At 37.3% G+C, this 15270-nt stretch overlaps 1 protein-coding gene across 1 annotated transcript in view; it reads right to left on the bottom strand.

Annotated features, from left to right (window-relative positions):
* SLC25A26 (solute carrier family 25 member 26) overlaps positions 1 to 15270 on the bottom strand; it is a 245318-nt gene that overhangs the window by 161117 nt on the left and 68931 nt on the right. The gene's annotated exons all lie outside the window — the stretch shown is intronic.

Raw genomic sequence — 15270 nt, 5'->3', positions numbered from 1 at the left:
TGGGAGGCCAAGGTGGACGGATCACCTGAGGTCAGAAGTTTGAGACCAGCCTGGCCAACACAGTGAAGCCCTGTCTCTACTAAAAATAGAAAAAATTAGCTGAGTGTGGTGATGCGCGCCTGGAGTCCCAACTACTCAGAAGGCTGAGGCAGGAGAATCGCTTGAACCCGAGCGGTGGAGGTTGCGGTGAGCTGAGATTGTGCCACAGCACTCCAGCCTGGGTGACAAGAGCAAGACTCCATCTCAAAAAAAAAAAAAGTATATGTAAATTATAGCTCAATAAAGTTGATTAAAATATTACTATCTCGCAGGATGATGAGGAATAAATAATATATGCACAGAAAGTTTTAGTCCAGTGCTTGTCATATAGAAATATTCGGTTTATTCCGTATTTTCCTATTTAAGTTAGAGATTCTGAATATTATGAATGAGAGACTGATAAGTTATCAAGGTGCATAAGTACTTTGTGATACATACTACTATAGCCTCCTAAGTGAAAATAAATCTTATTTCTAGCTACTAATGTTCCTGGAAGTTTTTGATGTAATTCCTTCCCTAAGAGAAAATTTAACCTAGACTTATACCTTTAATTTTGATTTAATACATCCTTTGAAGTAAAATTAAGAAAAAAATTCCTTTCCTCTTCAATGCAATGGTTGTCTTTAACTTTGCAAGAAAAAATTGTGTTGATGTCATTTTCTGGTAACTTGGAGGGAAATGTAATTTATCAGGTATCTTTCAGAATCAAGAAGAAATACATAGTCTCTCCTTTTATGCAAGGTAAAGGCTTTACCAGGTATTTCATGATACCACTGGAATCCTTTTAGGAAATACAGATATTACAAACATGACCTAGGGCTTCCTTTTCATGAAATGCTAGCAGAAAGACTCATTACTACTTGTGCATGCTTTTTAAATGGAGTATTTCAATGCATCATCATTATCACCACATTGCAGGCAGCATATGTTCTCAAATCTTTCATTTTAAAAGATACAGGCAATGTGGTAAGCACTGATTTGCATTACACATGTGATATTATAATAATCCTGTCTTTCTCACTTAAATCTATCACTGTAAGCCAAGTTTTCTTTTAAACAAGCTCTAAAATCTTAATAGTATTTATAAAAATTAGCAAGAAACCAAAGACATAGCTCAAAAAATAATTTAAGCCTAGCACAAAAAAAAAAACAAAAACAAAAAACAAGGACATAATCTTCAACCAGGACTAGGCTTAAGTTCCAAGCCCCGTTACTGTTTTGTTTGTTGTTGTTGTTTTTTGTTTATTTGTTTGTTTGTTTTAAGACAGGTTCTTGTCCTGTTGCCCAGGCTGGAATGCAGTGGTGCCATCTCGACTCACTGCAGCCTCAACCTCCGGGTTCAAGCAATCTTCCTGCCTCAGCTCCTCAAGTAGGTGGGACTACAGAGGCATGCCACAACACCTAGCTAATTTTTGTATTTTTAGTAGAGATGGGGTTTCACCATGTTGCCCAAGCTTGTCTTGAACTCCTGAGCTCAAGCGATCCACCCACCTCAGCCTAGAATTATAAGTGGGAGCCACTGCGCCCCATTCCATGTTACTGATTTTTATTGAAAAATACGATAGTATTTGTTAAGATCTGAATGTGTCCCCCAAAATTCATGTGTAGAAACTTAATCGCCAGTGTGATAAGAGGTGGGGCTTTTAGGAGGCAATTAGGTCATGATGGCTCCTCCCTTGTGAATATGACTAAAGTCTTCGTAAAAGAAGCTTCACAAAGTATTCAATCAGCCTTTTTTCCCTTCCACCTTTTGCCACCTGAGCACGTAAGGATACTGTTCAAAAGTACCATCTTGGAAGCAGGAACTGGGCCCTCCCCAGACACCGAATCTGCCAATACCTTGACCTTGGACTTCCCAGCCTCCAGAATTTTGAGCAATACATTTCTGTTCTTTACAAATTAACTAGTCAGTGGTATGTTGTTATAGCAGCACAAATGGATTAAGACAACAGTTAGAATCATTTTCAATAAAAATATTCCTGGAACTATTTCAATCCATCTGCAAAGGGTAGTAAATATATAAAATGGAAAGAAAGTCAAATGAAAAAATTTTAAAGGCCTGTTTGAAAAGTCAGTTTTCCTTTAAGTGATAGAATCAACAGAGTACCAGTCATATGGCTTTATGTTTGCATTTAAAATTAGTGAGAGAGAAAAAGATGACTCTTTCAATAAATGCTTTTGGGACTATCAGCTAACCATTTAGAAGAAAATAATGTTTGATCTCCATCTTACGCTTTGCCTCCTAAAACGGTTACATATTTTTTCATTGATATAATTAAACTATTAAAATAGTACTGAATCACAGAACTGTGTGAGACTGAGGTAGGAGGATCACTTGAGTCCAGGAATTCAAGACCAGCCTGGGCAACATGGGGAGACCTTGTTTCTACAAAAAATAAAATAATTAGTCATGCACAGTGGCACATGCCTGTGGTCCCAGCTAGTCGGGAGGCTGAAGCAGGACAATCATTTGAGATAAGAGGTCAAGGCTGTAGTGAACCGTATTCATGACACTGCATTCCAGCCTGGGTGACAAAGCAAGACCCTGTCTCAAAAAATAAAAATAAATTTTAAAATTAATAATAATAATAGAACAAAAAGGTAAACATTTTACATTTTTGTTTTTGTTTTTTGTTTGTTTGTTTGTTTTTGAGACAGAGTATCTCTCACCCAGGCGGGAATGTAGTGGCGCTCTCTAGGCTCACTGCAACCTCTGCCTCCCAGGTTCAAGTGATTCTCCTTCCTCAGCCTCCCAAGTAGCTGGGATTACAGGCACCTGCCACCATGCCCGAATTTTTGTATTTTTAGTAGAGATGGAATTTCAGCACGTTGGCCAGGCTGGTCTGGAACTCCAGGCCTCAAGCCATCCGCCCACCTCAGCTTCCCAAAGTGCTGGGATTACAGGCATGAGCCACCGTGCCTGACCAAGGTAAACATTTTTCTATTCTTGAGATAAAGAAACATCTTCTATGTCTCAAAAAAAAAATTTCAGTTAATAGCTTTGTTATTAAAAATTAAAATTAAAATAAATTTGACAGGGAAAATATGTGCAATGTATATAATCACATCAAATTTTTAAGTGTAAATAGTTCCCATAACTCAACAGAAAAACACTAATACCAATAGAAAAAAATGAGTAAAGATCACAAAAGTAGAAATACAAATAGATAATGAACATGTTAAAAAATATTTTTCAATTCATTAGTAACATCGAAATGAAAATTAAAACACCAACAAAGCATATTTTTTAACATTTTAAATAGGCAAGGATTTTTTTCTAGAGGGAGAGTTGGAGCAACTTTTCTGGTGAGCAATGTGGCCATATGTAATAAAATCTTAATGTGAGTCAGTTTTGCATCGTTATAAAGGAATACTTTAGGTTGTGTAACATATAAAGAAAAGAGGTTTATTTGGCTCACGGTTCTGCAGGCTGTACAAGTATGGCACCAGCATCTGCTTGGCTTCTAGTGAGACCTCAGGAAGCTTTTATTCATGGCAGAAGGTGGGGTGGGGGTAGGCATGTCACATGGTGAGAGAGGTAGAAAGATAGCTGCCAGGCTCTTTTTAACAACCAGCTCTCATGTGAACTCATTACTGTGGAGATGGGGCCAAGCCATTCAAGAGGGATCCACCCCCATGACCCAAACACCTCCCACCAGGCTCAACCTCCAACACTGGGAATCACATTTCAACATGAGATTGGGAAGGGACAAACATCCAGACCATATCAAACCGTAAACTCTGACATTTCTGGGGATTTTTGCATTACTGATCATTTTTAATGAATAATTACTTTTTTTTGAGACAGATGATCATTTTTAATGAATAATTACCTTTTTTTTGAGATGGAGTGTCACTCTGTTACCCAGATTGGAGTGCAGCGTTAAGACCTCAGCTCACTGCAACCTCTGCCTCCTGGGTTCAAGTGATTCTCCTGCCTCAGCCTCCCAAATAGTTAGGACTACAGATATTGTGGGTAGGAGCAATGAACAGGTGAAGCACAGAGAATTTTTTGGCAGTTAAACTATTTTGTATGATGCTATAAGGGTGGACACATGTTATTATATGTTTGTCCAAATCCATAGAAAGTACTACACCAAGAGTGATTAACCTAATGTAAACTGTGGATTTGGGGTAATGATGTTTCAATGCAGGTCCATTGATTGTAACAAATATACCCCTCTGGTAAAGAATATTGATAATGTCATAGGCTGTGCATGTATGGGGGCAGAGGATATATGAGAAATCTCCGTACTTTCTGCTCAATTTTGCTGTGACTATAAAATTTCTCTAAAAAAAATTACATTAAATATATATATTTTAAAAGAAAGTCATTTTACTAGGCTTTTTTTTTTTTTTTTTTTTTTTTTTTGAGACAGAGTCTTGCTCTGTTTCCCAGGGTGGAGTGCAGTGGCATGATCTTGGCTCATTGCCACCTCCACCTTCTGGGTGCAAGTGATTCTCCTGCCTCAGCCTCCCTAGTAGCTGGGATTACAGGTATGGGCTACCACACCTGGCTAATTTTTGTATTTTTAGTAGAGATGGGGTTTCACCACGTTGGCCAAGCTGGTCTTGAACTCCTGACCTCAGGTGATCCACCCACCTCGGCCTCCCAAAGTGCTGGGATTACAGGCGTGAGCCACCGCGCCTGGGCTGCGCCAGGCCTAGTTCTTGAAATTCCCAATGGTAACATTCCTTAGTCACGTTTTATCCTCCTTTTATCCAGGGAGGATAGAGGAAAGGAAAGGATAGAAGGAAAGAAGGAAAGGACAGTAAAAGGAAAAAATAAAAGTAAGATGATTTAAGAAAAGGAAAAGATTGTGTCCCTCTGCTCCATGTTTAACAGATACTTTTTCTACAACCGAATGTCAATCGGCAAATGAATGGGTACACAAAATATGGAATGTACATTTATACATATGGTAGAGTATTGTTTACCCTTAAAAAGGAAGAAGATCCTGGCACATGCTACAATGTGGATGAAACTTGAAGACATTATGCTAAGCAAAATAAGCCAGTCACAAAAAGACCAATATTATATGATTCCATTTAGGTGAGATGTCCAGAGTAGTCAAATTTATAGAGATAAAAGTAGCATGGTGGTTGCCAGGAGCTTAGGGGAGGGGGAAATGGAGAATTCAATGGATACAGTATTGAATTGTTCATTGAATTGTTCAATGGATACAGTATATCCCCCTTATCCATGGGGGATACATTTCAAGATTCCCAGTGGGTGATGCCTGAAACCTCAGAAAGTACTGAACCCTATGTATACTAGGTTTTTTTCCTATACATATATACTGATTATGAAGCTTAATTTATAAATTAGGCACAACAATAATGAATAATAAAATATGAATTGGCACATTGGCTTGCATTTGTAATCCTGGCACTTTGGGAGGCCGAGATGGGAGGACTACTTCAAGCCAGGAGTCTGAGGCCAGCTTGGGCAATAAAGCAAGGCCTTGTCTCTATGAAAAAAAAAAAAATTTATTAACCAGGCATGGTGGTGTGCACCTGTAGTCCCAGCTCCTCAGGAGGCTGAGGTGGGAGGATCACTTGAGCCCAGGAGTTTCAGGCTGCGGTTAACTATGATTGCACCAGTGCACTCCAGCCTGGACAACAGGACACCCAGTCTCCAAAAAATAATAACAATAAGTAGGACAATCATAACAATATACTGTAACAAAAGTTATGTGAATGTAGTCTCTCACTCACTCACTCTCTAAAAATACCCTAACATTTTTGGACTGCGGTTCGGTTCACTCGGTAACTGAAATCACAGAAAGTGAAACTGCAGATAAGGGGAGATTGTTACAGAGTATCAGTTGGGGAAGATGAAAAAATTCTTGAGATCTATAGTAGTGATGGTTGCTCATGTACATTGAGCAGCAAATGTACTTAATGCTACTGAACTGTACGCTTAAAAATGGTTAAAATGGTCATTTTTATGTTATATTTTACAACAATAAAAGACATACTTTTTCTTCAGAAGAGATGGAATGCATTTAAAATATTTGATTTCAAAAATGAAATGCTTGTGAAACATTTGTGAAATTTCTCAGTCTCACAGAAAAGCTGACATATGCAATGTTCTTACTTTTTTTCTATTTTTAATTTTTTCTCTCAACTGGTCACATCACAGCAACATTCCTTAATCAACCAATAATCAAAGCTCTCTCCTCCCCCTTCAATGCCATTTTGTTTTGTTAAGTAAGAGTTTCTGGATGGAAAGACCGGGGGAGGCAGCAATAAGTGCAAGCTATATTAAGAGCCGCAAGACCCCAGGTAATTTCCCAGTACGGAAAAGTTTAAAAGAATAATAGGGATTTGAATTTCCATTCACCGGCTCCCTCACGATTACGTGCCACTTTCAGGCTGTTTGCCATTTTTTACCTTTCTCATTGCAAACCTTCCAAAGAGCTTCAGGGCACTGTGGTCTTTTTGTTTATTACCTTCTGTCAAACAAACAGCAGGCCTCCACTCCAAAGGGCACAACCCCTCTATTCTTCTGAGCTACCATTGTGTGTCCTAAATGAACACAGTCCGCTTAATGCTACAGGTCGAACATCAATATTCTTGAACTGTCCCCAGGTGAATCCCCTCTTAGAGTTCAAGGATCTCTTGTAAAAGATGAGTGAATACATTTGTTTTGTCATTTCTCAGATCCAATGGTGCTGATATAGCAAAATAGCCACCATTCCCCAAATAATTACAAGAGGACATGGTCATGTTACCAGCTGTCCAGTAATGTGCCATGCAGGTGCAGTGCCACAGCCTCTATTAATTTTTAGTTCTGTGCTATTCACATGTTTTATTTCTCAGTAGACATATGTTTGCTTTTAGCCTGAGTGATCTGGCCCCTGACTGTTGCCTCACCTTCATAGCTCGCCAGTCACGTCTCCTTGCTGACAAACCTTTGGCGATACTCAGCTTTTTGCTAACTCAGATGAGTCGAGGCCGGGCGCAGTAGCTTGCGCTTGTAATCCCAGCATTTTGGGAGGCTGAGGTGGGAGGGTTGCTTGAGCCCCAGAGTTCAAGACCAGCCTGGGAAACATGGCAAAAGCCCATCTTTACAAATAAATACAAAAATTAGCCTCGCATGTTGGCCTGCTTCTATAGCCCCAACTACTCGAGAGACAGAGGTAGGAGGATTGCTTGAGCTGGAGGTCAAGGCTGCAGTGAGCAAAGATCACACCACTGCACTCCAGCCTAGTGACAGAGTGAGACCCCCATCTCAAGAAAAAAAAAAGAGTCACAGTTGTCCATACCTTCAGCCTCAGGACATTTGCATATGCCAACCCCCACTCCCACATTTCTCATTATCCTTCACTGACAGTTCAACTTAATGTGGTTTCCTAAGGGAGACTGTCTTTTCCAGTTCAACTTAATGTGGCTTCCTAAGGGAGATTGTCTTTTCCTTCACATCACCCCACTCCAGCTTTTGTCCCATAGCATCATATTTTTTCCCCAGAACTTATTGCAATCTATAATTCTAGATTTGTGGGCTGATGTTATTAATATCTGTCTCCACCACTAGATTATAAAAATGTGTGAAGACAGAGACAATGTCTATCAAGTTTGCCACCGAATACTCAGTCCCAGATACATCATATAGGCTCAATTGCTGGAATAGAAAAGGGAGAAGGAGGGAGGAAGGAGGAAGTGAAGGAGGCCATACATAGTTGCATCTTTAGCTCCATAACAAAGCTGATGTGCATCAGGAAGGTCCAATAGGCATCCGAAACTCCTAAAAGCCTATGCTAGGGGATTGGTATTGCTATAGACATCTTCAGGGTACTCTTTCCCCCAGGAAACTACTGCATATATATATATATATATATATATATATATATATATATATATATATATAAATAGAGAGAGAGAGAGAGGAGTATATATATATGTGTGTGTATACACACCTCTCTCTATATATAAGGTGTGTGTGTGTGTATAGATACACCTTTATATAGGTGTGTATATATATATATACCTTTATAGATATACCTATAAAAGTTGTATATATATATCCATACCAATATATACCTATAAAATATATATATCTATATATTTATATATACCTATATATACCTATAAAATATATATATTTATATATATCTATAAAAGGTATATATATATAAAATAGATATATAGGTGTGTATATATATACCTTTTATATATATATGCCTATACTTTTATACGTATATAAAAGGTATATATATATACCTTCTATATTTTGATAGACAAAACACAAAGAATATATAACTATATACCCATATAAAAGTATATGTATACACCTTTATATATATATACACCTTTATATATATATCTTTATGTGACTATATATAGATATATATACATATACACATATACATACATATAGATACATGTACATATGTATATATATACATACAGATATATATACATATGTATATATACATACATATAGATATATATGTATATATACATACATATAGCTATATATTATATATACATACATATATACACACATATATATACACCTTTATATGGGTATATCGTTATATATTCTTTGTGTTTTGTCTGTCAAAATATAGAAGTTATATATATATATATCTTTATATACCTATAAAAGTATAGGTATATATATATATAAAAGGTATATATATCTTTTTGTGTATATATATATATATATATATATACATCTTTATATGGGTGTGTGTGTGTATATATATATATATATATATATATACACCTTTATATGGGTGTGTATATATATATATACCTTTATATGGGTACATAAATATATATATATATACACACCTTTATATGGGTATATATATATAAATGTATATATATGTGTATGTATATATACACATTTATATATATATACCCATATAAAGGTGTATATATATATATATACACACACCCATATAAAGGTATATATATATATGTACACCCATATAAAGGTATATATATATACCCATGTAAAGGTGTGTATATATATACCCATATATATATATACACCCATATAAATATATATATACACCCATATAAATGTGTATATATATATACCCATATAAATGTGTATATATATATACCCATATAAATGTGTATATATATATATATACCCATATAAAGGTGTGTGTGTATATATATTATATATATATCTATATACTTTTTTTGAGGTTTAGAGCAGAAATTAAATAGGCGAAAGAAGCAGAATAGCTCTCTGCTACAGGGAGGGTCCCGGAAAAGTGGGTTGTCCTGCTCCTATATTTTTGACAGACAAAACACAAAGAATGTCAACTTGAATGTTTTTCTGGCAAGAGGGCATGTGAAATCCATGTGGCAATCTCTTTCCTAATTTCCCTGATCAGGGCCTTTTCCCGAGTTCACTGACATTGGCCTGCCATGATTTCCTTTAAAAAAAAAGGTTCTCTCAGAGACATAACTGATTCCAACTAGAGCAATGATAAATCAGTTCTGTTGTGATCCAGTTGGCAATAAATTGGCCATTTCACAAGAGCAGAAAATCATCTCTCTTTTTAAAAGTCATTATGATGAACAATGAAACTCTATGGTGCTTGCAGAAGTAAAATAGGAAGATTTAAAAAAAATCTAGATTTTTATTTTAGTAAAGCTTAAGAGAGAATGATTAAAAATAAAAGTTTCCAAAACGTGAGAATACCATTGACTAATCGCTTGGAAATGGAGTCATTTTTCTGTAGCAATTTAACTATATAAAGTCTTTTTCCATGCAATATATAAGTTGCCATCAGTTAGTATTTAGAGAACACTGTGCTTGCATAAGTGCTCACAGTTTACTTTGTTCTAGTGTATAATGGATATTTAACCCACAAGAATGCTACCTCTATCTTGCTGATAAACTGTCTCAACAATTGGGTAATAGCAATAGTACATTGTCTATTATACCACCTTTCTTTTCCACTTCTATTTCTTAATTTCTGCAATTTCCTGTAAAAGAAAGATTAGATGGGCAAGAAAATTGGCACAAGCGTTACAAGAAAGATTTAAAGTTGAGAAATACATTTCTAAAATATATACTGTGTGCCTATCTTGTCTCTCAAGTATTCTACAATTAAGACTACTTTGTAATGAGAAAATAATTTAGTTTTAACTATGCATTTGTTTACATTAAAATTTATAGCATTTGTCAGTTACTTTGGGCAGGAATTTAGAGATGAGGTCCATTGTTTCATAAGCATTGTATTCTTTTTCATCCAAATTTATATACAATGTTGTGAGTAAAATCAATCAGGCCTGGGCTGAACAAAGACTTGCCTTTAAAACAAGTTTGGAGTCTGTCTTCCCATAATACTGTCTCATTGGAAATTAAGATTATCTTAATATATAATACAATGATCAAATGGAGATTAAGATATATGTGGATGGTTATACCTGGCTTGTTTGCCGTGAAACCCCTAATTGTTGGAACTGCACCAAGAGTGGAAGACCCATGAACTGGACTAGTATGGTCTAAAGGATGGGGGGGATAACTGAGGCTGTAGCTTCTCTGTGTTAAAGTGACACACCATACCTTGTTTGAGGCAGCTAGACATGACTTACGTAGGTGAGGCGGGTACTTGGGTAGCATTTGGGTCTCCTAACAAGGCACAGATACCATACATGTGGTCCTGTATCCATCTAAAAAGCTAAGAAAATATCGTATTAGGTTTTAAAGCCTACCGAGTCTTTTGAGTCTGATCGCCACATAGAACCTGTAACTAGGCCAGGTGAGGTGACTCACACCTGTAATGCCAGCACTGTGGGAGGCCAAGGCAGACAGATGACTTGAGCCCAGGAGTTCAAGACCAGCACCTCCCCCGCCAGGCAACATGGCAAAACTCCGTGTTAAAAAAAAAAAAAAAAAAAAAGAAAGAAAGAAAAATTAGCCAGGGGTGGTAGTGCATGCCTGCAGTCCCAGCTACTTGAGAGGCTGAAGTGGAAGGATGGGAGGATTGCTTGAGGCCAAGAGGTGGAGGTTACAATGACTACTGGAGTGCATGCCACTACACCCCAGCCTATGCAATACAGCAAGACTCTGTCTAAAAAAAAAAAAAAAAGAACCTGTAAGTACTGCTTGCTGAGCGATGCAAATATGTTAACTGAAATCTTCTTTATTCTGAAATGTCCTCTGTCTAATGCTTTATAATAATTTACTTACTCTCCCAAAAAATAATACCTACCCTTCAAAAGAGGATTTTCTTATAAAAGAAACAGTATGTACAGCCTTGCAGATTGTGCATTACATGGCTCCAAGGGATGCCAATTATACAGACATCCCTGTGAATGTGCTACAGATTTTTCATTGCCCAGCTCCAGGCAGTAATAATTACAATACAGTCTATGTACTTGGCAGTCTTTGGGCTTAAATGGTGCACAACTGGCTAATCCTAAATAGCCATATGTGGCAGCCCTGGATCTACCTCAGTATGAAGTTTGTTGGTTCCAAAATGGACCCTGCCTCGAGGTAGAGAAAGTAGGATTTTTTAGTAGATGTTGCAGATACACTGCCCCGTATCTGCTTGGCTCGCCTGCATTGACGTACAGTTATGGCGGACAGTCCCTGGCACACTGAAAACATCCCAACATAGGAATTAGTGTCTCTTGTTTTCTCTACCTGAGCCCTCTCTCTTGCACCATGGGAAGTTTGCAGGCACAACTGAGCTATGTGGGTGTATACTCATAAATATCCCAGCCTTCCCTCTGATGGGGATATTTTGTATATGTTTCCAGTAGTTTCTCAGAGGTTCCCAGGAAGATTGAGACATAGTTGCTTACAGCACTAACCTGCTCTATTACGCATACTTTATCAATTTTTTCCCTTTTTCTGCCTCACTTTTTTAACTTTCTTATTTGTGCTTCCAGGGATTTTCTCCCTGCAGAAGCTACCTGCACCCAAGTCCTTCTCTCAGGGTCCATGGTAGAGGAGATCCAAATTAAGACAGATGCCCTATGAACAAATGGCCTTAGTTGGATGTAAGCTTGAATGTTGGCCCATGGCTAGATATTTGTTAACTGAATAAACAAATAATTCTTCCACAGGGTCAAGGGGCTGCCTCCACTTATCAGGAAGAGGAGAGGCAAAAAGAGCTAAGTTGTGAGTTCTCATACTTCAAACTGCATGTGTGACAAAGTGATAGAAAATTGAACTGCCTCCCAGCTATGCAATAAAGTATGCATCAGTCCAAATATGAATGAATCCTATTTTATATAGCACTGGCATAGTTGATATTGCAATTCTGAGTGCGGGTAGACACAAGACCCTTGCGTTTATGCTGCAAAATATCTCCCTCCATATCTCAAATTATCTTCATTATTTTAGTCAATTACCTGCAAGCACCCCCATTCCAATCCTAGACTCAAAAACTTAAGATAATCTAGCTTTGGAACAATAGCTACACCTATGAGTGCATCTGCTTCCTAACCAGAGAAAGATGTAAGACTCTGGGGACAGGAAATTTTTAATTCATTTATTTGTTATTTAAAATCATTCCATAAAGGAATAAACTCTGAGCCTCCACCACGCTTTTTTCTTTCTAATTGGAAGAAGAATGCATGTTCAAGGAGTGTGAAATTAATATAGTACATGCACAATCTCAATAAATAAACACAAAAATCTTTTTGTTGCACATTGCAGGCTTCATTCAATTAGTGAAATGTTAAAACACTGCTGTGTTGCACAACTTAATCTTTCAGTATCAGGAAAACCCAAATAAAACAAATAACTAACAAATAAGAAAGTCAATGTTCTTAGCCAAACATGGAATCAGCAGAATCTGTTTTCCGAGATTCACGTTTCCATCTCAGAGCCCCATTAGCCCTCCCAGTCAATACCCTTCCCTACCTGCTAGTTCCATAGTCTTCTTTGCAGTCAGCTGTTTAAAATGTTGACTGATAGCTAAGGCAAGAAGAGTGGTTTAACATTCATGGCAAACATGTTACAGGCACCCTAACTTTGCCTACTGTACACACGGCAGACATTGATAATCTATCACTGAAATGATATTGTACTCGGTAAAGTGCTGCCAGCCTCCATCGGCAATCAGAATTGGTGCAACAAAGTCATTTCTCAACTAATCTTTGCCGAACTTATACATGTTCCTGTCAATGTTCTGACTCTAGGAATATAGATGAACAAGATAGACAATGTTCTTGCTTTTTCTGGGGTGCTAGCATTCTAATTAATGCTTTTAAAACAGAAAACTGAAAATCCGAAAGGATAAACCTCCAGGAGTTGATGATATTGGCATTTTAGATTTCATACTTCTATCAAATAGCCATTCTCATTATTTTCTTTTTTCTTTTTCTTTCTTTTTTCTTTTTTTCTTTTTTTTTTTTTTGAGACGGAGTATCACTCAGTCGCCCAGGCTGGAGTGCAGTGGCGCGATCTCGGCTCACTGCAAGCTCCGCCTCCCGGGTTCACTCCATTCTCCTGCCTCAGCCTCCCGAGTAGCTGGGACTACAGGCGACCGCCACTACGCCCGGCTAATTTTTTTGTATTTTAAGCAGAGACGGGGTTTCACCGTGTTAGCCAGGATGGTCTCGATCTCCTGACCTCGTGATCCGCCCATCTCGGCCTCCCAAAGTGCTGGGATTACAGGCGTGAGCCACCGCGCCCGGCCCATTCTCGTGATTTTCATGCAAGTTTCCTCCTATAAGTAAGTCCAGCAATTCTAGCATTGCATCATTAGGTCAATTATCTCATTATTAATAAAACTTCATGCCTAGGGGAAGAAGGTAAATAAACTGCATAGAATATTCCATTCTTCTCTTTGCCTCTTTCCATTATACAATACTGAGTGCCTACTGTGTATCGGGGCTAAATTTGGAATAGGGAATACAAAGATAATTTCATTCTCTGCCATTGTGAGGCTCATAGTGTAATGAGGGAGGTAGAAACATAAGCAGATGAACTCAAAGTAATCCTATAGAGTACTAGGACCTGAACTCACTGTGTCAGCTCAACAAGCAGACCCTAGAATGTAATCAATTCATTGTAGAATTGTTGCAGTAAATATTCTGGATGTAATGGATTACTTTTATGAACTATACCAAAATAATTAGCATCTTTAAAGTAAGCAGTCTTTTCTTTTTTTCTCTAGACATAAGGGACACCCAAAGGGGAAACAGTTAAAAACCATGCTCTAATTTTTAATGAGCATTTATCTCCCATTATTTTAAAAATTTAAAAACGCAAAATCAAACATCTATGTATTAGCACCCAAAGGTATTTTTATATTTTATTAGTCTACTGATGTTTTAATAAGGGTAAGTTAAAATTATATTTAGTCAGCAGTTTTTGTATTTTTTCTTTTAGAAATTACAAGCATTTAAGGGTAATTTATTAATTGAATTGGGCTTAAGTTTTTTTTTTTCCTTTTTTTGAGACAGGGTCTCACTCTCATCACCCAGGCTGGAGTGCAGTGGCACGATCACCACTCACTGCAGCCACAAATTCCTGGGCTCAGGTGATCCTCCCACCTCAGCCTCCCAAGTAGCTGGAACTACAGACACATGGCACCATGCCTGGCTAATTTTTTAATTATTTATAGAAACAAGGTTTTGCCATGTTGCTGAGACTGGTCTCAAACTCCTGGGCTCAAGAGATCCTCCCGCCTCGGCCTCCCAAAGTGTTGGGATTACAGGTGTTAGCCACTGCACCCAGCCAGAACTAAGTTTCAAAAGTTAGTTACGAATCTAGAAATTACAATTAAGTTAATATATTAAATCTTTACGAATTATATTAATATAAAATATTATAAAACTTAACCATTTAAGAAGACAACCACTGCTATGTCATTTAGTTAAAAACAACGTAATACATGTATAATTTTACGTTTTAAATTTGGTCTTGAACAAAGCAAAATAATGTGTCAAGCTTTTGTTATGGTAAACTAATTTTTCAAGACTGAGTGATGTCAAACTTCAGGATTCACACTCAGACACTTGCCACCAGTTATTTAAGTGGTGAACCCAGTGTAACTTAGCAGAATTCCTTCTTTTGTCTCTTTTTTCATTTTAAAATGTTTTTTTTAAAATGGGAGTTCTTAGAGCTGCTGATGTGTGTAGATCACATATGGAGTGAAATTAGAATTATTCCAAGATGTGTGGGAGTTCTCGCTGTTGAACAAGTGTCTCCAGTAATTCTTACAACGAAGCAAGCTTGGGACATCTACCCTTGTTAAGGTCAACTTTGCCAATAGATTTTTTTCTTTCCTTTTTTTT

This window comes from Homo sapiens, chromosome 3 (genome assembly GCF_000001405.40).
Source record: "Homo sapiens chromosome 3, GRCh38.p14 Primary Assembly".
Lineage (NCBI taxonomy): Eukaryota > Metazoa > Chordata > Mammalia > Primates > Hominidae > Homo > Homo sapiens.
The sequence above is the reverse complement of the archived record's forward strand: the minus strand, read 5'-3'. Positions and strand labels throughout refer to the sequence as shown.